Source organism: Homo sapiens, chromosome 8 (assembly GCF_000001405.40).
Source record: "Homo sapiens chromosome 8, GRCh38.p14 Primary Assembly".
NCBI lineage: Eukaryota > Metazoa > Chordata > Mammalia > Primates > Hominidae > Homo > Homo sapiens.
In genome coordinates this window covers 132,727,366-132,752,362 of record NC_000008.11, presented here as the reverse complement: position 1 = coordinate 132,752,362, position 24,997 = coordinate 132,727,366, and the positions used below count along the sequence as shown (strand labels likewise).

The 24,997-nt window shown below is 40.9% G+C and overlaps 1 protein-coding gene across 14 annotated transcripts in view; it reads left to right on the top strand.

Moving 5' to 3' along the window:
* The window catches only part of TMEM71 (transmembrane protein 71), a 70,161-nt gene that overhangs the window by 23,637 nt on the left and 21,527 nt on the right, over positions 1-24,997 (top strand). For 5 of the 14 annotated variants that reach the window (NM_001382398.1, NM_001382403.1, NM_001382401.1 and 2 more), the window contains 3 exons: positions 366-578; positions 5,249-5,421; positions 24,377-24,565. In NM_001382398.1, the coding sequence (NP_001369327.1) occupies positions 366-578; positions 5,249-5,421; positions 24,377-24,565 (575 nt within the window). Of the gene's footprint in view, positions 1-365; positions 579-5,248; positions 5,422-24,051; positions 24,115-24,376; positions 24,566-24,997 lie in introns of all 14 variants that reach the window. The other 9 variants (NM_001382396.1, NM_001364885.2, NM_001382400.1 and 6 more) reach the window with 5 other exon arrangements.

Below are 24,997 nucleotides of genomic sequence, written 5' to 3'. Positions count from 1 at the left end.
GGCAACTGGAGGGCTATTCAAAGTAAGAGAGTAGAGGGGATTTTGAGCTTCCACCATCCCATCCAAAAAAATACAATAGACTAACATCAAACGTAGGTTAACCATATGGTGAGGAAAGTGATTAGCCATCGTGTTTTCACTGAAGTTTAAAATAGAAAGAAACGCTAAAGTTTCTGTAGTTCAACGCTGTCATAGGTGAGGAGATGAAGCCCAGAACATTAAGAGTGACATTCCTAATGGTTGCAGAAGTAATTGACAGTCATGGATGCAAAGATGTTATTTTCCTTCACAGTGATGAGACATGGTTTATTTGGGACTGGATGTACTGAATAGAGATTTAAAGTGCGTTATCTTTTCCTTCTTAGTTTCACCTGTGATTCCCTGGATGGTTACCATTCTTTTGAATGCGGCTCCATAGATCCCCTGACAGGCTCCCACTATACCTGTCGCCGAAGTCCCAGACTCCTCACCAATGGCTACTATATTTGGACTGAAGACAGCTTCCTGTGCGACAAAGATGGCAACATAACTCTGAACCCATCCCAGACCAGCGTTATGTATAAGGAGAACTTAGTTAGGTAAGCAGAGCATATTACAGAAAGAAATCTGAAGTCCAATCCATCCATTAATTGTTTATTCATTCATTTATTCACTCAACTATCTTTTATAAGGAGCCCATTATTGCTCCAGACTGTGGAAATACAAAGGGTAAGAGGGGACCTGTCAACAGGTCAATCCATCCATTAATTTTGTTCACTCATTCATTTATTCACCCACTGTCTTTTATAAGGAGCCCATTATTGCTCCAGACTGTGGAAATACAAAGGGTAAGAGGGAATGGGCATAGCCAGCATGAAAACAAATGAAAGCAATGAAATAATACGGGTGCCAGGATAGAAACCCGTCAGGGTGCAGTGAAGGGATAAAAGAAAGGAGATCCATTTTACTTGGGGAATAGGTAAAAATAAACTCACTAGTGGTGGTGATGGCTGATTTAAGTCTTGAAAAATGTAGGATGTTAGTTAAAATAAAAGTAGGAAAGAGAACTTCTGGAAAGATGGCACAGGTCTGGGGTTCTGAGAGACCCTGGTAAAACTTAGGGAATAGCAAATAGTTTGGTAGGAATAAACTTAGGGTGGGAAGGGGTGTTTTGTAAGAAAGAAGACTGAGCATGGGAGCAGGGGCTGGATGAAAGGGGTTAAATTTAAGGCTAAGAAGTTTGAGCAGTACTCTATAGATAAAGAGGGAGCAGGCATTGATAAATTATCAGATTTATTCTTAGAAAGATAATAGTGACTGCTATGGAAAGGATGGGTAGTTGGATGTGTGTGAATATGTGAGTAGAGAGTGAGTACAATGGGAAAAATGAAGGCAAGGTATCCACAGATTAAAAGCAAGTTGTGATAGCAATGATGAAACAGTAAAGGTGGGGAAATAGATAAAAAGAATGGTAAAGGGGTGGAATCTTCATCATCCAAAGATGTGGGAGGTCAAGCAAAGGAAGAACACTTGCATGAATCTTAGGACTCGGGTTCTGTCAACTGGATGTATGGTAGGACAATTTACCAAGATCAGAAAGAAAGGACGGGCATGTCTGAGGAAAGAAGATGGATGAGTTCACTTTGCATTGGTAAATTGGGATAATCACATTCATTTACTTTTGCTTCAAAACCACCCATATGCTGACTGTATCAGTCAGCTATTGACACAATAAAGCTGTGTAACAAATAACTATCAAATCTTAATGATATAAAATAATGAGTCCACACATGTTTGGAAGTCAGTGGAGTAGGTTGGTTTAGTCTGAACTAGGTTGAGGTTGGCTTCAGTTGGAATCAAGTATGCATTATATAGGTCATTCCCTTGAGACCATTGGACTACAGAAAAATGTTCTTTCCATTGTAATTACATAAATGCAAGAGAACATACCCCAACAGCAGATACATTTCAAGCCTCTGTGTGCATCAGTCTTCTACCATCTCATTGGTCAATTCAACTTACATGGGCAAGTTGTAATAAGGGTCAGGGAAATGCACTCTACCCTTGTTGATGAGGGAGGGAGGGATTTCCTACAGGCATCTCAAACCCAGTATGTCCAAAATAGAAAAGGTCACCTTTCTTTCAAAATGTTTCTCACATGATTTCTATTTCAATGAAAAGAAGCACCACTTATCCTCCGTTGTGAGTCTCTCTAGACTTGACCTTTTTATTCCTACATCCATTTTAGTCAGTCAGTCAGGATAAGATGGTATAGGTAGTAACCTATAGATCTAAATATGTAATGACTCAAACAAACCAGATTTTATTTCTTTTTCTTTTCTTTTCTTTCTTTCTTTCTTTTTTTTTTTTTGAGATGGAGTCTCGCTCTTTCGCCAGGCTGGAGTACAGTGGCGCTATCTCTGCTCACTGCAACCTCCGACTCCCTGGTTCAAGCGATTCTTCTGCCTCCGCCTCCCAAGTAGCTGGGATTACAGGCATGCACCACCATGTCCAGCTAATTTTTGTATTTTTAGTGGAGATGGGGTTTCGCCATGTTGGCCAGGATGGTCTCGATCCCCTGACCTTGTGATCCGCCCGCCTCAAACTCCCAAAGTGCTGGGATTACAGGTGTGAGCCACTGTGCCGGGCCCAGATTTTATTTCTTGCTCATGTAATTGTCCAGCATGAGTGTTCTAGCTTAACTGGTGACCCACCTTGAAGCAGAGACTCAGAGACCCAGCCTCTTTCTTTCATCATATGCCTCTGCTAAACATGCGAGCCTTGTAGAGGCTGTGCCATGGTGGAATTGCCTGGAGCCAACTGGTAAAAGTAGAAAGAATGTGAGCTGAAGGAACATCTTCTTTCCCCAGCCCGTAAATGGTACAGATCACTTCTGCTCACATTGCACTGGGGAGACCTTAGACTCATGACCACACCTAATGGCAAGGGAGCAGAAAGATCTAGTTCAGTTGTGTGTCCAGGTACAGTGTATTTGGTGAGAAGTTTATTGTTTCCACCACAAATGTGAAGACCAAATGAATCTACTTCCTAAAATTATTTTGAATTGTTCCTCTTGTCTTTCTTCCCATAGCTATTTTCTTCATTCAGGCCACCATCACCTCCTGTTTAGATTTCAGCCATGGTTGATTCTGATGCCTCCTGGATTACCTACCTTCCAGTACATTCCCCAGGCCAGGCTATTGCAAGGTGGTTTTCTTACATTGGTTAGGCACCCTCCTTCAGGAAAGTCTTACTCCATTTTCTTTCTTCTCATTTCACCTTACATAACTGCCAATATTTGCTATAAAAAAATAAAATAAATTTATTGATTGCTTTCTGTGTGCTAGGGACTATCTCAACTGTTTTGGATATATACTACCATTTGATTCCAAACTCCTGCTCTGGAATCTTATGACGTAGATTTTATTACTGCCATTCCCATTTCACAAAGGTGAAACATGAGTTCAGAGAGGTTGAGTAATTTTCCCAAGCTCACAGGGCTATTAGGTGGAAATAGGATTCCAGCTCAGATGGTCTGACTTTAGCGAATCAGTTTTGAAACACCACTTTTAACTCTAGCCCTTGTTATATAGATATTCTTGATGTTAAAGATGTCTCATCCATACTTTTTGTTCTCAAATTTGATGAGTGCCCATCCCATAATACATACTTAATAAGGAGTTGTTTAGTGAATTAATGAATATGATAATAAATGAATAAAAATTACTAATTCCTTTTTATTCAATTTTAATTGATCTCATCTTAGAGCCTACAAGAATCTTTAAAATTTGGTTCATTTTCACAAGAATGTGTTCCATTGTCATGAACTCTACCATTTTTCTCAACTTGTTGTTCCTGAAACCTATGACAGAGAGAGTTCAAATAAAGCAGATTTTCTCAACAGTAGCACTATTCACATTTTGTACCAGATAATTATTTGTTGTGGGCAACTGCCCTGTGCATTGTAGGATGTTTAATGGCATCTCTAGCCTCTTCTCACCATCTGCCAGGAGCACTCCTTCCCTGGTGTAACATTAACAAAATGTCTCCAAAACCTGCCAGATGTTCCCTGCAGCCAAAATCAACCTGGTTGAGAACCATCAGGATAAAGAACACACAAGGCTTGTTGTAATTCATCTTAACCACCAAGGGAAAGCACAATTCAAAATGCATCTTCTGATAGCAGCTATAGCTAAAGAGCAGAATTTTGTGATGGGAAAACTGTTCCATGCCCACCTTGCCTGTGATGGGAAAGCTGTCCCACTCAACCTTGCATTACCTTTGGTTCAGGCCCTCAGTATTTTTTGCCAGTACAGTGTGCTCAGCACAGGGCTTGACACATCACAGGCAGATACGCAACAGTGAATCCCCTGTGCACTTCGATTAACCCCTCTGACCTCAATCTTGTACCTCTGAGCCACCCTCTGCTACCAACAATTTTGGAAATGCAAACCGAATTATGTCATCACTAATCTGTTCCCTGTAGCCATGCTTTAGAGGTCTCCCATTGTTCCAACACTAAATTCCAACTCCCTTGTAGCATATAAGAAGTTCATCATTACTTACCTTCCTTTTACCTGTCCAGCTTCATTTCTTGGCATGACCTAATCAGACTTACTGGTTCCTCAATAAACAGGTCAGATCATCTGATGCAGCTTAGAACTCACTTCTCCCAGAAAAACTCCCTTGATTATCAATTAGCACTGCCACTCCTGGTGCCCTCACAGCAGCCTCTAGGTAATCCTTTCAGAGCACTTATCCCCTATATAGCATAGCGATCAAAAGCAAAGACCGTGGAGGCAGACTCTCTGGGATTGCATCCCAACTATGTTACTTACTAGCTGCATGACCTCAGCCAAGTGACTTAACCTATCTGTGCCTAAGTTTCCTGATCAGAAAAATGGGATAATAATAGTATCTATTTCATACAGTTGTTCTGAAGATAATGTGAGTTAATCTATGTAAAGCACTAAGAAAGATGCAAGGCATAGAATAAACTCTAGGAAAGCATTACCTATATGTGCATTATTATTTCTTTCTTTCTCCTATAATACATTGTGAACTTTTCACACACAAAGTTTTGTCTTTTACCTCAGTACTCTTGACATTGAGCCAAGGACCTGGCACACAGTAGAATTTTGAGAAACTTTTGTAGAATTAATGCAGTGAGCAGACTTGGGTTGTAGAAATGTACTCTGCGCTTCAAATCACAGTTTTGAACTAAAGGTAACTATTATTCGTTGTTCACCATGCTTTCATTTCTCTCTAGGATATTTAGAAAGAAAAAGAGAATCTGCCATTCCTTTTCTTCTCTCTTCAACCTCAGTACCTCCAAATCTTGGCTGCATGGAAGTATCTTTGGTGACATCAACTCTTCTCCAAGTGAAGACAACTGGTTGAAGGGGACCAGGAGGTTGGACACAGACCATTGCAATGGAAATGGTGAGTTTGAGTCCTCCTTTCCATAGTAAAATTTTATCTCCAAGTGGGCAGTGGTAACCCTGTGGTCCTCAACCAATGTCAGTTCCAGGGATGACAGTCATTTTGATGGAGAGATGGGCCACATTTTTAAAATTCACTTAAAGTTCTCTCTATATTACATGTGTGATCAAAACACATATGTGTCTATGTCATGCAAAATAGCCTAATGTAAATGTGTAAATTATTAAGTTGATAATGCTGGGAAAATATTTGCACATCTCCACTGTATTTTTTCTGTAAGGGATATTGGTGGAGAAAGGATACTAGAGTCAGATTTAGAAGACCTGCATTGGAAAAAATGTACTGGAGTCAGGGTTCAAGTCCCAGTATGAGTACACTTGGATAGTACTTAACTTTGCTGAGTTTCAATTTCTTCATAAAACCATATATATATACATATATATGTATATATATGTATATATATATGTATATATATATGTATATATATATGTATATGTATATGTATATATATATGTATATATATGTGTGTGTATATATATATGTATATATATATGTATATATATATGTATATATATGTGTGTGTATATTTGTGTGTATGTATATAAACACATAACTGTTGAAATATAATATATATTCAATACATATAATATATACATATTGTGTAATAACATTAATATTAATACAGGTAAATATGTGTATATACATGTATATAAACACAGTGATGGGAACTCAAAGCATATATTTTAAAATTTATTTTTCTTTTTCAACTTTTATTTTAGAATCAGGAGGTACATGTGCAGGTTTGTTACTTGGGTATATTATGTGATGTTGAGGTTTGGGTTATGAATGATCCCATCACCCAGGTACTAAGCATAGTACCCAACAGTTAGTTGTTCAACCCTTGCCCCCTTCTCTCTCTCCCCCATCTAGTAGCCCCAGTATCTATTGTTGCCATCTTTATATTCATGAATATCCACTGTTTAACTCCCACTTATAGGTAAGAACATAGGGTATTTGGTTTTCTCTTCCTGTGTTAATTTGCTTAGGATAATGGCTTCTAGCTGCAGCCATGTTGCTGCAAAGGGCATGATTTCATTATTTTTAATGGCTGTGTAGTATTCCATGGTGTATATGTACCATTTTCTTCATTCAATTCAATGTTGATGGAAACCTAGGTTGATTCTTTGTCTTTGTTATTGTGAATAGTGCTCCTGAAAATGTGAGTGTATGAGTTGTTTTGGTATAATGATTTGTTTCCTCTTGGATATATACATAGTAATGGGATTGCTGGATGAAATCGTGGTTCTAAGGTCTTTGAGAAATTTCCAAACTGCTTTCCACAGTGGTTGAAATAATTTACATTCCCACCAACAATGTATAAGCATTCCCTTTTCTCTGCAGCCTCATCAACATCTGTTGTTTTTTGACTTTTTAATAGTCGCCATTCTGACTGATGTGTGATATAGTGTCTCATTGTGCTTTTGATTTGCATTTCTATGATTAGTGATGATGAACATTTTTTCATACATTTGTTGCTGCATGTATGTCTTCTTTTGTGAAGTGTCTGTTCAAATCTTTTGCCCATTTTTATATGGGATTATTTGGTTTTTGCTTATTCAATTGTTTAAACTCCTTATAGGTTCTACATATTAGACCTCTGTTAGATTCATAGTTTGTGCATATTTCTACCATTCTGTAGGTTGTATATTTACTCTTGTTGATAGTTTCTTTTGTTGTGCAGAAGTTCTTTAGTTTAATTAGGTTCTATTTGTCAATTTTTGTTTTTGTTGCAATTGCTTTTGAGGACTTATTCATAAATTATTTTCCAAGGCTGATGTCCAGAATGGTGTTGCCTAGGTTTCCTTCTAGGATTCTTATAGGTTAAGGGAGGTCTTACATTGAAATCTTTAATCCATCTTGAGTTAATTTTTGTATATGGTGAAAGGTAGAGGTCCAGTTTTATTCTTCTGCATATAGCTATCCCAGCTCCATTTATTGGATAGAGAGTCCTTTCCCTATTGCTATTTTTTGTCAACTTTGTCAAAGATTAGATGGCTGTATGTGTGAAGCTTTACTTCTGGGTTCTCTATTCCATTTCGTGGGTCTATGAATTTGTTTTTGTACCAGTACCATGCTGTTTTGGTTACTATTGCCTTATGGTATATTTTGAAGTTGGGTAGTATGATGCCTCTGGCTTTGTTCTTTTTGCTTAGAATTGCTTTGGCTATTCAAATTCTTTTTTGGTACCACATGAAATTTAAATAGTTTTTCCAACCCTGTGAAAAATAATATTGATAGTTTGATAGGAATAGTTTGAATTTGTAGATTGCTTTAGGCAATATGGCCATTTTTGTGATATTGATTCTTCCAATCCATGAGCATGAGATGTTTTTCCATTTATTTGTGTCACTTATAATTTCTTTAAGCAGTTCTTTGTAGTTCTTCTTGTTGAGATCTTTTATGTCCTTGGTTAGAGGTATTCCCAGTTATATTATTTTTTGTGGCTATTGTAAATGGGATTGCATTCTTGACTTGGCTCTCAGCTTGAATGTTGTCAGTGTACACAATGTTATTAGGGTACAGAATTGACTACTGATTTCTGTACGTTGATTCTCAAAGTATATTTTAAAGATGAAATGGGACAATGAATATCAGTCATAGTTCAATGTCTGGTGCTCAGTAAGTTGTAGTTATAATTATTTTTATTACTAGAATGGAAACAACAGATATTTATTGGACACTTACCATTTTCCAGGCACTGTGGTAGGTCAGGGGATAGAAAGATGAATATAAACAATGTAATAACCCCTGTCTTCTTGGGCCTTATGGTTTACTGGAGCAGGGACTGTGGTTCAGCTCTTTGTTAAATAAGTACACAAACATGACATAATGATTGTGGTAGGTGCCATGAAAAAAAATTATATGATATAATGGGGAATTCGACTCATTTGGAAACTTAAGAAAAGCTTCCATGTGGAACTGGCAATGGAGATCAGTGCTAGACAATGAGAGAGGATTTTGCTGGGTGAAGGGGAAAGGTAAGAACATTCTGTGCTGAGGAGACAAAAAAGTCTGGAGTGTGAGTTGCCTAGTGAGTAGACGTGCTTGGTGGGGGAAGATAGCATGCATGGTTTGAAACACAGTGAGTTTAAGTTTCTTTGGGACATCCAAGAGACAATGTCAAGATGGTGTTGGTATTTGCAATCCAGAGCTCAGAGGAGGAATCTGAGTTAAAGTTATACATCTGGGAGTCATATCAGTCTAGGTGGTTACTGAGGCCTTGCAGTGGATGAGATGGATTAGAAAGAGGGTATACAGTTTTCCAAAGAGGGAGCCTAAAATGGAATGTTGTGAACTCAAACATTGAATAAGTGAATAGGACAGGATTAACCTGCAAAAGAGATTAGGAAGGAAGCATTCATGGAGGTGAGTGGAAAAACAAGAGAGTGCTGTGTAATGAAATTCCTGGGATAATAGTAGTATAAAAGGTGGGAGTACTCAGCAATGGCAAATCATGCTAGAAAGGTAAATAGGATGAGGACTGAGTGTTCAACAGATTCATTTGCCTGGGGGTGACTGGTAGTGGAGTGAAAGTGGCAGAAGAGAACCAGGAGTACAATGAAGAGAGAATGAGAGGTAAGGAAATAAAGGAATGGCCTATAGAAGACTTTGATGTCTGCTGGGAAGGGAAAGGGAGAGGTGAAGGAGGGTGAAAGCAAATGAGAAGATTGAGTGAGTCCCTGCGGCTCTTCTTCCCCTTTCTCCTCCTCCTATCAACAAGAGGGGAAATTTGAGCATGTGTCATGATACGGTTTGGCTGTGTCCCCACCCAAATCTCATCTTGAAATTCCACATGTTGTGGGAGGGGCCTGGTGGGAGGTAATTGAATCATGGGGGCAGGTCTTTCCTGTGCTGTTTTCGTGATAGTGAATACGTCTCACAAGATCTGATGATTCTATCAGGGGAAGTTTCCCTGCACGAGCTCTCTCTTTCCCTGCTGCCATCCATGTAAGACGTGATTTGATCCTCCTTGCCTTCCGCCATGACTGTGAGGCTTTCCTAGCCATGTGGAACTGTAAGTCCATTAAACCTCTTTCTTTCGTAAATTGCCCAGTCTTGGGTATGTCTTTATCAGCAGCCTGAAAACGGACTAATACATGTCACTCATCAACAAATGGGCCTGAATTAAAAATGGGTTTGCAGGTCTACTTCGATATGTTATATACTCATTTAACAGTCATTCTTTCATTTATTCATTCACTCATCAAACTCACTGAGTATGTGCTATGTGCCAGCCACTGTACTAAACACAACACTCTTCCAAGCTAAGTAAGACATGACCCTAACCTTGAGAAATTCCTGGTTTAAAACAGGTAGATAAATACATTTGCAAATAATTTGAGTATAATGCCTGAAACAGCATGAGAGATTTAAGAGTAGTATGTGGAGAGAATGTCAGAAGTTTAAGCAGAGGAGGCAGTGTTAGCTGTACCTAGAGGTAGCTGGGAGGGCTTCAGAGGGAGACAACATCGGAGTGTTTTTTTGTTGTTGTTTTGGTTTGTTTTTCTAGACAGAGTCTCGCTCTGTCACCCAGGCTGGAGTGCAGTGGCGCGATCTTGGCTCACTGTGTGGGCGGCAAGCCATCCAGGCGCCGAGGCAAGAGACCGAGGACACAAGCTGTTCCAGTATAATAAAATATAAAACAAAAATAGTTATACCAGATATAGATCTTAGATATGATTATATATGAATATCATTAATCATTGGTTTGTAGCAATTACTCTTTATTCCAATATTATAATAATCCTTGCTCTATAGTCATAACCTAGGAAAAACCAGGCCATACAGAGATAGGAGCTGAGAGGACACAGTGAGGAGTGTCCAGAAGACAAGAGTGCGAGCCTTCTGTTATGCCCAGACAGGGCCACCAGAAGGGCTCCTTGGTCTAGTGGTGACGCCAGCGTCTGGGAAGACGCCCGTTGCCAGGTGGACCGAGGTTTAGCGGTAGCAAAAAGTGTCAAGGAACAACACCCGCTACATAGCAGACCGGGAAAGGGAGTCTCCTTTTCCCCCGGGGAGTTTAGAGAAGACTCTGCTCCTCCACCTCTTGTGGAGGGCCTGACATCAGTCAGGCTCGCCCACAGTTATCCAGAGGCCTAACCTTCTCCCTGTGATGCTGTGCTTCAGTGGTCACGCTCCTAGTCCGCCTTCATGTTCCATTCTGTACACCTGGCTCTGCCTTCTAGATAGCAGTAGTAAATTAGTGAAGGTACTAAAAGTCTCTGATATGCAGAAATAATGGCATAAGCTGTCTTTCTCTTTGTCACCTCTGTCTCTCTGCCTCGGCTGCCAGGCAGGAAGGGCCCCCTGTCCAGTGGACACGTGACCCACGTGACCTTACCTATCATTGGAGATGACTCACACTCTTTACCCTGCCCCTTTTGCTTTGTATCCAATAAATAACAGCACAGCCAGACATTCGGGGCCACTACTGGTCTCTGCGCATTGGTGGTAGTGGTCCCCCGGGCCCAGGTGTCTTTTCTTTTATCTCTTTGTCTTGTGTCTTTATTTCTACACTCTCTCGTCGCCACACATGGGGAGAGACCCACCGACCCTGTGGGGCTGGACCCTACACACTGCAACCTCCGTCTCCCTGGTTCAAGCAATTCTTCTCCCTCAGCCTCCCGAGTAGCTGGGATTACAGGCACGCGCCACCACACCCAGCTAACTTTTGTATTTTTAGTAGAGACAGGGTTTCACCATGTGGGCCAGGATGGTCTTGATCTCCTGACCTCGTGATCCACCCGCCTCAGCCTCCCAAAGTGCTGGGATTACAGGTGTGAGCCACTGTGCCCAGCCCTGAGTGGGTCTTAAAGGATGAATAGGATGGCTAGGCAGAGATGAGCTAGGATGATATTCCCAGCTTCCCCATTCTATCTTCCAAACTGCTGTGAGGCTAACCTTTTTAAGGCATAAATGTGGCGTTGTCATCATTCCTTAACACAGCATGCAAGGCCTTTTGAATATTTCCTACTTCTCCAACCCAAACTGGCTGCATAATTTTCAGGCTCAGTGCAGAATAAAATACAGGACCCCCTGTTCAAAAATGCTTAAGAATCTCAAGTGTCAACCAAGAAAAACTGTTAAACCAAGAAAAAGGCCCTCGGGAGCAAGAAGCCCTGTGCAATGGCACTTTTCAAAGGTCCGTGTGGCTGGTCGCGTCTTCAACTCCACCGTTGTCCTTTCCCTTACATGCAATTGACACAGATCACACTGATCTTTCAGTTTCCTGAATGGATCCTGCTCTTCCACACATCTGTGGCTTTACTTATGTCACTCACTCTGCTGTAATTCATTTATGAATTCATTTGGAAGATTTTATTGAGGGCCAATGATGTTCCAGGCATTATCCTACACAATGGACATAGTGGTGAATAAAATGGACAAAATGACTTGCTCTTGTGGAACTTGCATTTCTACTGGGGGAGATAGACAATAAATAAATTATGTAGCATGTTAATAAGTGGTGAGTGGTATGGGAAACAAGAAAAGGGGAAGTGATGGGGATTGCAAATGTAAATAAAATGGTTAGAGAAGGCCTCATTGAGAAGAACTTTTGAGCATTGGCTTAAAAGCAAAAGCAAAACAGCTCTGTGGATATCTGGGGGAGGAACAATCCAGGCAAGTGAAATGCTGGTGTACAAGTTCTAGTCTCAGAGCCTGCACTGGGCTGAGTGAGTGAGGGGGGATAGTAGGGAAAAGACTGAAAGGTGTGTCAGGAATGCAAGTGGGAAAGAACAAGGGGAGCTGTGGGGTCATTTCAAAGGCTTTGCTTTCATACTCTGAGTGGAGGGCAAACCACTGGAGGATTCTGAGCTGAGGAATAACTTGTTTCAATTTACATGTTAAAAGGATTATTCCAGCTGCTGAGTTCAGATTAGATGTCCGCTATTAGGAGCAGAAGCAAGAAACACGTTAAGAGGCTATTGGTGTGATTCAGGTGGGAGATAATGGCAGCTTGAACTGAGATGATAGCAGAATGGTGATGAGAAGTAGGATTCCAGATTCGTCTTACAGGTAGACTCAACAAGATTTGCCTACGTGGCTGTGAGAGAAAAAGAGAAGTCAAGGGTGCTTATTCCATGCTGAGCACTTCACATTTTGTCTTTTTAAAATATATTAGCTTGTTTACATACATTATCTTGTTTAAATATCCCCAAAACTCATAAGAAGTAGGTCATATTATCATATTTATTATAATTATGATAAAACTGAAGTTCAGGGTTAAGGAACTCGCCCAAGTTAATTTAGCTTATAAACAGCAGAGTTGGGGCCTGACACGGTGGCTCACTCCTGTAATCCCAGCACTTTGGGAGGCCGAGGCAGGCGGATCACGAGGTCAGGAGATCGAGACCATCCTGGCTAACATGGTGAAACCCCGTCTCTACTAAAAATACAAAAAATTAGATGGGCATGGTGGCGGGCACCTGTAGTCCCAGCTATGCGGGAAGCTGAGGCAGGAGAATGGCGTGAACCTGGGAGGCGGAGCTTGCAGTGAGCGGAGACCGCGCCACTGCACTCCAGCCTGGGTGACAGAGCGAGACTCCATCTCAAAAACAAAAACAAAAACAAAAACAGCAGAGTTGGAATTCAACCGAGGTCTATCTGATTTAAAAGTCCAGACTCTGCTCTGCTGCCCGGAAGGGCTTTGTTTTCCTTTTCAAGGAGAAATCCATCATGTCCCTCATAGTGCAGGCCGAAAGAGCAAGCTAGAGGAGTCGTATAATGCAATAATCTATTAACTTAAGTGTATAATAATTACATGGCTATGATTTTTCTTAATCTGCTTCCTAGACAGAAGACACACGTAACATTTTTTTTTAATTTTCAGTAACTTTGATTCACAAAATGTTACAAAAAATAGTATAGAGAGGGTCAGTGTATGCTTCACCCAGCTTTGCCCACTGATAACTACTTATACAGCTATAGCACATTATCAAAACCAGGAAATGGACGTTGGCACAATGCCATGAAGATTCCACCAATTTTTACATATATTCCTGTGTGTGTGTGTGTGTGTGTGCATGTAATACTAGATTAGTTTTAAGAATGCAATAAGTGCTTGTTAAATGAAGAAACAGTTCTTAATATGATCAAAGGATTACTTAAATTGAGTGATTCTAGTTTTCCACAATAACAAGAGTGTAAAAGCAGGAAGAGGAGAGGGGAAAGAGCAGGGATGTGGGGGGTGAGGCCAGAAATATTAATTGTAGATATTTGAAGAACCTTTTATGCCATATTGAGGATTTGGGGTTTTATCTAATCAATCAAGAATATTTTTTGATTCTCTTAAGCAGGGTGATGATGCAATCAGATTTGGAATTTTCAAGTTATCTTTGCAGTAGCACAATTGAGGATTGGATGGGAGCTCTGAGGCAATTAAAATCAACCAGTATCCTAAGGAAGTGGCAGGAAATAGGGAGGAAGGAAGAGACTTAAAGAATATTTTCCAAGGTAGAATTGACAGGTTAGTGATAGATAGAATATAGTAGTGAGAACGTGGGAGAATCAAAGAAAACTGAGGTATTTAATTTGGGAGACTGCATAAAAAATTCTGCAAGTCACCAAGGGCTGGAAGATAGTGTGGTAGAGTGATAAGGAAAATGAGCTTTTGAACTAGATGAACCTGAATTCAAATCCTAGAACCAGCTTTTCCCACCTGAATGTTCTTGGGCAAGTTATTAACTAACCTCTCTGATCCTCTACTTCTTATATATAAAATAAAAAAATAGCATATAGAATGGGGAGGATGAAATGCAATAATTCATGAAAAATGTCACACTTCTAATATCTCTTATGAATACCAGGGGCTGGTATTCTGCTTAATACACATTAGCTCTAAAAAGGCAGAAAAGAACAGCTGAGGATCATCAAAACAGACAATGAATTGTATTTCTTATGGGTTGAATTTGAGATATCTTATGGGAAATAGATAACCAGTAGAGGTTTGGAAACATAAGAAGGGGGTTCAGGAGTAATTCATAAGCCAATCTGAGAAGGAATACAGTTGATACATAAGCCAATCTGAGAAGCAATACAGTTTTTTGGAATAAAGAAGTCTACTTATGGAAAACAAGTGAATGAGAAGAAAGGAGCGGTAAGAAAGGAATTCAGGAGGTTGAACAGAAGCCCCAGTAATAATGATCCCTAATTGTGTGAGTGCTAGGGGCAAGCACAGTTCCAAGAAAGCCACATGTCACGTCATCACTTCTCTGCAAAGCCTCTGAGTTATTATTATTTATCCCCATTTTCCAGGGGAAGAAGCTAAGGTAGCTTAGGTACTATATATGAGGCCACACAGGTAAGAAGTCGCATAGCCAGGATTTGAAGAGAAAAGTCTGAGCATGTGCTCTTAATCCTGGGAAAAAGCTCTTTGGGGAAAGTTTCTCAGGCAAGGAAGCAAGAGAGTGTGGTGTTATGAAAGAAAAGAATATGAAGAACTGGCTAATGAAGCACAGCTTGATAAGGAGGTCAACTCAAGAATTCTGTAGTCCCTGGTAGATGTGTTATGTGTGGAATCTTCCCTCCAAAGGCAAAGGAGAAGTTATCTCTCTGACTCTTTCTGACAGAGTGGCACAAATATCTTAGTACAGAGCTCTCGTTACTTTTTAATTGAGATATAATCCACGTTCCTTAAAATCTACCAACTTAACGTATACAATTCAGCGATTTTTTAGTATAGTCACAGGGAGGCCATGCAATCACGACTGCTTTCCTGTTCCAGAACATTCCATCAGCCCCAAAAAGAAACCTGATACTCACTCGCAGTCACTCCTCCTTCCCCACCAGCCCCTGACGACCAATATTCATCTACTTTCAGTCTCCGTGGATTTGCCTATTTTGGACTCTCATTATTTTGTTTCATTTTGATAAAATGTTTAATTAAGGTGTTGTTGATGAAGTGGGCAATGTGATGTTTCAACATATGTACACACTGTGAAATGGGGAAATCAAGTTAATTAACATATCCATCACCTCGTATACTTACCATTTGTTATTGTTGTTGTGAGAACATTTAAGAACTGCTCTCTCAGCAATTTTTTTTTTTTTTGAGACAGAGTCTCACTCTGTTGCCCAGGCTGGGGTGCAGTGGTCCAGTCTTGGCTTACTGCAACCTCCACCTCGTGGGCTCAAGCAATTCTCCTGCCTCAGCCTGCCAAGTAGCTGGAACTACAGGCATGAGCCACCATGCCTGGCTAAGTTTTTGCATTTTCAGTTGAGATGGGGTTTCACCATGTTGGCCAGGCTGGTCTCAAACTCCTGAGCTCAAGTAATCTGCCCTCCTTGGCTTCCCAATGTACTGGGATTACAGGTGTGAGCCACCATGCCTGGCCCTCTCCTAGCAATTTTCAAGAATACAACACATTATTATTAACTCTAGTCACCATGATATAGGATAGATTTCCAGAACATTTTTCATCCTGTCTGACTGGAATTTTGTACCCTTTGACCAACATCTCCCCATCTCCTACCCCACCCACTCATGATTTTCTGAGGCTGCCTCTTCCTCTCAGTGGTTACTGCTGCTCCAGGAATGGCTTACTCAGGCTCACCTCTAATGTGCCTTTTGGAGTGTCCATCCATTGATTCTCCCCTGTTTTTTTCTGGAGCAACAAGGCAAGTGTCTTCTCAGTTCTAAAGCAATGTTTTCTAAGGTGTAGGGTAGGGTAGGAAATGCTGCTAGCACAGAGCAACAGTGAACGTTGAATCACACAGTAAGAGAGAAGTTGTGGCTCCTCTTCCAATTCCCTTACAATCCTTCTGATAAAACCAAGAAGACCAAGGCTCAGTTTAGAACCTTGGTAGCTGTCAGATTCTCTAACATTTGCTACAATCTCTTTGGTTTTAACAAAGTTCTTCTTAACCAAGAACAGGCTCAGAGCTTTCTGCTACACCAGTATTTCACACGTATTAAATAAGGTTACATTTTCCATTGTACTTATTTTTACCTTTACTTTCTGTTTAGGGCATTTACGTGACTGTTATAAAGTTTGCTTTAAAGTAAAAATGTAAAATGAGACAATCTTAAGAAAATATTAAATGGCTGAGAGCAAGCAGGTTCTGGGATTTGGCAAAAATCAGGAAAATAATGCCTGGATGACTAAAGTCTGAGAATCACTGTTCTAAAGACAGTATGTCACATATTTAGAAATTAACATCTAATTTTTCCTTCGTTGTCTCTTTGAAATATGTCCAAACAATTTCAAAGGGATTGGACCACAGCAATGCTGCACGTGCATGAGGTATCTTATTAAAATTCTCATGGTTTCCAAATATCCTCTAAATATAACAAATCAAACTACCTCCATCCAAAATCAGTAATTAGTCAACCTGGGCGCACACAGAACTTTGAAATCTTTCATCTCTGCTGTCAGAGTAATCACATCTTCCCCAGACTTCTTGCTTTCCAGATTTACCCAAGGCCCCGTGACTTTTATCAGCAATTTATTTTTCTCTGGAAATGCCTAGTTAGAAGACTCCAGAAGAAATCAAAATTAAATTGTTTTGCTGTTTTCTCTCTGAGCAATGGATGCAATCAAACATTACTTCCCCTGATTTTCTTGTGCTTCATTTTTCAGGCAAGAGGATGTTTTTGCCTGTTTTGTTTGTCCTCAGTTCACCCCTTTCCCAGCTGTGTTGACACCTTTCCTCATTAGTTGCAATTCATTCTTGAGCCACGGAATTTTGCAGCTACCCAGGCCCCAATACTGCAATTCGGGATGTGTTCCCAGAGCCTGTGAGTCATACTGAAAGAGAGCAGAGGATTCACGCAGGGAGGACTGAACAGGATGGACTCTATTTCTGCCAGTCCTGGAAAAGGCAGGCTGACTCCAGGCAAGTCACCTGAGCTTGAGGTGCATGCCTTTCTCTAGAACTCATGCCTGTCACATAAATATCTTTGAGATGGCAACATCAGTATGTGGCTTTGGGCTTCTCTTTATAGCAAATAATGCCCATTTTTATATAAAAGGATATGGAAGATGTGCTTAGAAGATACAGAATCTTCCCAACAGAGGTAAAGTACATCAAATTTAGAAATCAAGTTAAACAGAATGAAATAGATACCTTCAACAATAATACAACTAGAGCTATTTGGTAAAATATTTTTTGCCTTATAATCCTTTTATTTGTTATTAAGTTTGGAGAAGAAAATTCACTGTCAATTAGGGAAAGTGAGTTTGGGTTAAATCATGTCTTTTCAGAGATGAAAAATCTCCTTGATCGTTTTTGAATGTTAAGACTTTTTTGTGGTTTCTCTGTTGAATACCATATTTTCTTTCAGAAAATTTTATGTACAATTTCCAGTATTCTACATATTTTTTATTTCATCCAACTCTCAGCAGCAAAGCTTTATATTCAACTGGGCAGCCCTGGGAAACAGCACATCTTTTTACTGTTGTTACAGTCTCGTCCACATCTACCCAGATTGTAGTTAAGGGGCACTCATGACTACATAATTAGCCGTGGAAGTTCCCATCTCTTTCTCACTTCCACATTGATTTGATCAGCTAGCCTCCTCTTTTTTTTAACAGCTTTATTGAGGTGTAATTGCTATACAGAGAACTGCACATATTTCATGTGTACAATTTTATGACTTTAGACATATGCAGACACCTGTGAATTCCATCACCACAATCAAGGTAATAGACATACCCAACATGTCCCAAAGGTGCCTGTGTCTCTGTGTGTGTGTGTATGTGTATGCGTGTGTGTGTGTGTGTGTGTGTAAGAACATAACATGAGAGCTACCTTATTAATAAATACCATGTTGTTAACTACAGGTACTACGTTGTAGAGCAGATCTCTATAACTCATCCTTCCAGCGTAACTGAGACCATATTCACATTGAACAATGGCTCCCAATTTCCCCCACCCAAACCCCTATCCCCTGGCAGCCACTATTGTACTCTCTGCTCCTATGAGTTTGACTATTTTGGCTACCTCATAGAAGGAGAATCATGCAATATTTGTCCTTCTGTGACTGGCTTATTTCACTTGGCATACTGTGCTCCAGGTTTATCCATGTTCTTGCAAATGGCAAGATTTCCTTCTTTTTTTTAAGATTGAATAATATTCCATTGGATGCATATACCACATTTTCATCATCCACTCATCTGTGGAAGGATACTTAGGCTGCTTCCGCATCTTGGCTACCATGCATGGTGCTGGGATGGGCATGGTCCAGGGCCCCCTCAGGAGCCTGGTCATTATTGGATGATCTGCGTGTTTCATTTTCTGTCACTCCTTTCTCTATGGCAACCAGCAGGGATGCATCCACAGACTGCTTTGTCAAGCTGCCAAAGGCTATGTGTAAGGCAGTGCAAGGAAGCCTGCAGGGTTAGTAGGAATTTCCCAGTCCAAAACCCCCAACTCAGTATCCAGGCTGAGGGGAACCACAGGTGAAGTCAGCCCACCAGCTATTCTCCTCTCTTGAAGTCGCAGTCTTAGCTCAAACTTAGCCTCCGTGGTGGCAAATACTGACCCACTTTCTCTATAGTTACTGTACCCTGTTATAACAGGCCTACGTTAGATTTTGCAAATAACAACACTACATATCTTAGCCTCCTACCCCTTACCGAATTCTCTGTAAAACTTACTGAATGCTAACTATGAGCTGGGTACTAATTGCTGGTGTCTGGGACAGATGAAGTGACCTTTTTCTCACGGAGCCTTTTGTCTAGTGAGGGAGACAGACACTAAACAACAACAACAAAAAAACACACACACAGAAATTATGTATTCTATTGTCTGTATTTCTGTAACAATGATAAAATCATAAATTATGATCTGTCCTCTGAAGGCAGAGAACAGAGTGTTTTGACTAGATTAAGTACAACCAGGAAAATACAGACACGTGATTCTCACTTGAAGCACCTACCAGAGTTGTCGAAAGGACTCTAATGATCCAGTTGCCTTAGACGGTTAGGTCAGCTCTCTCAATGACAGGGTTTCTCAGCCTCAGCATCACAGTATCGTGGGCAGGTAATGTCTTGTTGTGGCACCTGCCCTGTGCACTGTTGGGTGTTTAATAGCATCCCTGGCCTCTGTTCAGTAGATGCCCGTAACACCCCTCACCTCACTCCAAGTTGTGACAACGTAAACTGTCTCAAGATATTGCACCATGTCCCCGGGGAGGAGAAATCACCCCCTATTAAGAACTACTGTTGTATGAGGACCCCAATGTCTCTTGGAGCCCCATAGTCACTCAGCTCCTAGAATGGGAGACTGGGAATCTCGCAAATCTCTCACTGCTGAGTGAGCATTTTAACACACAAAGCAACTCATGTTACACTCATGCTCAGATTTTTTTAATGACTCTAAATCACCCACAGAATCAATATTAGCTTGGAGTGTGACATGAGACCCCACACAATGTGACCTCTGCTTAGCAGCCCAGACAGAATCATCTCCTGGGACTGACCTCATGCACATGCTCTTGTCTAGCTACACAGGAGGACTCTTCTGGGAACCCACCCTGGTCTCTCATAGATTGAGGTATTGTAATTTCTCCCCATCCCCACTTACTCTCTTCCTCTCTGCCTGGCCTGTCCTCTTCCTGCTGTCTCTCTGGAAGAACTGTTACTCATCCTTCCAGTTTCCACTGAAGCGCTGCCTCCTCTGTGAAGCCTCCTTGGATTTCCCTCAGACAGACTCAGACACCCCTTCCTAGATTCCCACTGGATAACTTGTTCCAGCCTTTGTTGTAGCAATTACCTCATTGCATCCTAATTGTTCATTTGCATGTATGTCCCTCTCCAGATCATGAGTAAGGCAGAGCAATATCTAATTTGACTTCCTTCTTCCAGAGCAGCATTTGCAGTATATACAATAACTGCATTGAATGAATAAATAGATCTGCCTGGCCCGTATCCATGCAGCTTTTGCCTCCCGCCTTACTTTTGCTCCACCTCCCAATTCCTCTGGCTTGGGGGTCTTCTCTGGGTATGTCACCTGGGGGCTGCTTCAGTCTTTCCTCCCAGCTGGTTTCGTATCTTTCCTTAGTCATTTTATGTTCCAGACATTCCATGACAGCAATCAAGGCAGAGAAAGTTTCTATTTGTTAACTGGGGCTGTTCAGATTCCCCTGCTTGTTCCCCTTGAAGTTCCTACTACATGGTAAAAATCACCTTCTTGATTCTTTCCTTTCTTCCTCCCTGTTTTTCTTTTGTCCCTGTCTCTAAACCCTTCTCAGGAACTGTGGCTATTCCCCACCAGGTCAGGTTGGTCTTTCCCAGAGGCCCTCTTGCTATGCCTGTTCAGCTCTGTGATGAGGCAGGGGGCAGAGATTACAGTCTTTACCCTCTGCTGGGGCACTTTCTTCTAGAGAGGACCCTGTCCTATGGTGAAGTCGGGGCAAGTAAGCAGCCATATGGGATAAACCCTGTGCCTAGAAATGTCTGGAGCAGGTTTAGGAGTCCCTTCATGGTATAGCAAATTCCTGCATATCTAATTCAAAGTAAATATTACCTTCCCCAAGGTCAAGTAATAAGCTTCTTTTATTATTGAATGATAAATTCTTAAAAATCACTTCCACCTTGAAACATCGTTTGATGACTCATCAGCACCCTTCTACCACCCCCTACTCCCCATGAAGTTGATTATCACATTTGGTCACGTAACTAGGGTCTATATCTATTATAATGTCTATTAGCAATAGAAGTTTCAATTCTCTCCATCTAAACTATATGTTGGTATGTTTACATTTTTGTCTCTTCTCCTTCACTTATCACAGCTGTAAAAAAGTAGACATTACTATCCTATTTTACATGAAGAAACTCAGGATCAGAAAAATTAAGCAAAGTGCCCTGTTACTAGTATTAGAATGTATGTTTCAGTCTTTCTGATGCCAAAGTCCTTGAAATTTCCACAAAACCATATTTCATCTCTTTTTAGCAAATGATAGTCTGTTTCCCCTGTCCATAAGTGATGCCTTCTTTATTGCCTCCCACTGTTGACTCATGTGTACATGCACACACACACAAACACACACATGCACACATGTACACACACACCCTAGATTTCAACTTCTTTTGGGACAGTGTCTTATTCTCCCTTGTTTCCCTCCTAAGTGTCCTACAGTTCATAAGTTTACCAAATATTTGCCCAGTCGATATTCATATTTCCCTTAGTCATGAAATCAAGGCTTAGATGGACCATAGAAGTAATTGTCCTGTTTAGACAAGAAGCAAAAATAAGGACATACTATGGGTATAAAATAACCACAAAAAAACAAAAAACACAAATTTTACAGGTCTTCAGAGTTTCCCCAAGGTAAAATAAATTAGGACAATTTCTCCAAACATCATGCCTCCTGCTCAAAGCTTAAAGCCAGACGGTAACATCCTGGCTACTCCCATCATCTCCCACTGCAGGATTATCTTTTTCTGAAGCATCATATTTATTCTCCTTACCCATAGGAGATTATCTCCCTGCATAATTTATAATTTTAGATTGTGAGCTCATGTCCTTTGGGCTTTATCTGGGGAAATCTGTGCAGCTTGGGCTGAGAGTGTGTTTCCACAGAGAGCTTTTATGTTGGCTTCTGGCAGATATCACAGGGCTAGTACCAGCCTGAGACTTTTTAAAATATTAATTTCCCAGGTTAGTATAAATTTTAACTCAAGGCCAGGCATGGTGACTCATGCCTGTAATCCTAGCACTTTGGGAGGCCGAGGTGGGTGGATCATCTGAGGTCGGGAGTTCAAGACTAGTCTGACCAACATGGAGAAACCCTATCTCAACTAAAAATACAAAATTAGCTGGGCATGGTGGCACATGCCTGTAATCCCAGCTATTCGGGAGGCTGAGGCAGGAGAATCGCCTGAACCCAGGAGGTGGAAGTTGCTGTGAGCTGAGCTTGCGCCATTGCACTCCAGCCTGGGCAACAAGAGCAAAACTCCGTCTCAAAAAAAAAAAAAAAATTTAACTGAAAACCCACTTACTTATAAAGTGTTGGCGGAGACATTTTCCTCCCACCCACTACATAGGCCAAAACAGATAAGCTTTCATGCCTTCTCCTAGAACTAGTGGGCAGATTTTTTTTCTTAGCCATCCTTTCATTGAGGAAATAGCATTTTGAGTCCCTACAGAAACTCGGTTTTAATTTTCTGCCTCTCTTGAGACCAAGGCCTTTTTTCTGTCCCTAATGTCATTTAATCCATAGACCTTTGACTACTATGACTTCTAAGGCCCTCTCCCCACCCCTTTTGGCAGCTTTGTCCACAGCGTATGCTTAGAGTTATAGGTTTCCCTGGCTTGGCCTTTGGGAATATTTCCTTCTTTTGAGCTCAGCTATAAAGAAAAGTACATTTGTTGGGCATGTGCAGTCCCTTTTAGATGTCAGCTTAGAAAACACCTACATCCCAAAGCAGGACTCTGGCTACTCTTTCTGAGTGGCTTTGCTTCCAAGTCAATGAGCTCTAAACTGGCACGAATTCTTACCCAAGATCATAAGAGTAAAGTTAAACCCTGGAATGTGACACAGACCACTCAAGACAGAACCAAGAGAATTCCTAGGTACATTTATGCCAGGTGAGCCAAATGGGAGACTTCCAGTGGTTGAGTCAGAGGTGTGGTGCTTAACTATCCCTGTGGTTGAAAGGCATTCTTAACACATTCATCCTTTCCAAGGAAGCTTTGGCTTATAGAGTTTTGGATCCCCTAATCTCTGACTCAAACTAAGAATCAAGGATTAAAATTCATTCCTTGGTGACCTCACATTGAAGACACCAAGTGTTATGAGGAATCATCTTAGCATGTTTGAAACTTGAAGTTGCATGCATGCTTTTGCAATAAACTTGACTTTTTGTGAGAATGTCAGGCTAAGTTTAGGGCAAGTAAAATATATTTATGTATGAATCATCATAGGAGAAAATGGGTGCATGTTCTTGAAGCTATGTGTGTATGAAATAGCCTCTTTGAATAAAAAAATTTAAACAGATGGTTGCTATATTTTATCTAGGCATTTCAATGTATTTTATAGAGGCAGAATTTCCTTCATGACACTTATCACAAGATATTTTCTTCCCTGCCACTCAGCAATATGTAAGGACAGAGATGTTGTTCTAATTCACCACTATATCCCAGCAGCTAGGTCAGTTTCTAATATATAGTCACATTCAATAAATGTTGAATGAATAAATGAATCAGAAGTAGAAAGAGTTGACTGCTGTAAAGTTTGGTCCTATAAAGATGTGAGGTTCATATACTGACTACATATCCTTTAAATCCATCTATACAAACTTCAGTGTCATTGAAGATGCCTCTGGCCTTTGTTTATCTCTGCACTGAAGATATTTCTCTTCAACCTTCAAGTATGAAGACAAATTGAAATGCCATTTGAAATGGTTTGCCTGTGTCCTCACCCAAATCTCATATTGAATTGTAGCTCCCACAATTCCCACATGTTGTGAGAGGGATCTGGTGGGAGGGTATTGAATCATGGTGATGGGTCTTTCTCATGCTGTTCTCATGATAGTGAATAAGTCTCATGAGATCTGATGGTTTTACAAGGGATTTCTCTTTTCACTTGACTCTTATTCTCTCTTTACCTGCCACTATCCATGTAAGATGTGACTTTGCTCCTCCTTGCCTTCCACCATGATTGTGAAGCCTCCCCAGCCATGTGGAACTGTGAGTCCATTAAATCTCTTTTTCTTTATAAATTACCCAGTCTCAGGAAAGTCTTTATCAGCAGCATGAAAACAGACGAATACATCATCTCATCTCATCCAAAAATCCTTCTCCCATCCCACTATGGTAGTGCAATACCGTATCAATATTACTATTTTTGTGATTATTAGGAACTAACTGTGCATTGAGCAGTCACTGAACACACACACACACACACACACACACACACACACACTCACACTGAACCCCTCTGCTTTTTCAGCAGATGATTTAGACTGTTCTTCTCTGACTGATGACTGGGAGTCAGGGAAGATGAATGCAGAGTCTGTGATCACCTCCTCTTCCAGCCACATCATATCTCAGCCTCCTGGAGGAAACTCCCATAGCTTGTCTCTTCAGTCCCAGTTGACAGCTTCTGAACGTTTCCAAGAGAATAGTTCGGATCATTCAGGTGAGTTCAGGTGTTTTAAATATTTGCCACACCCAAAGAATTCTTCCTTTCAGAGCCTGAGAATGACTTGGAGATGACTAAAATGCAGTTAGGAGCTGGTACCAACCTGTGCGAGGAAGGGAGGACATGGGGCCTCTGCCAAAGCCCAGGTGACCCTTTGCAGAGGAGATGACTGCCTTTGGGTGTCATGTTAGAGGCATCAGTAACTGGATCTGCAGTGTTTTACTTAAAAAATATTCAGAGACCGGGCACGGCAGGTCAGGCCTGTAATCCCAGCACTTTGGGAGGCCGAGGCGGGCGGATCACAAGGTCAGGAGATCAAGACCATCCTGGCTAACATGGTGAAACACTGTCTCTACTAAAAATACAAAAAATTAGCTGGGCATGGTGGCGGGTGCCTATAGTCCCAGCTACTCGGGAGGCTGAGGCAGG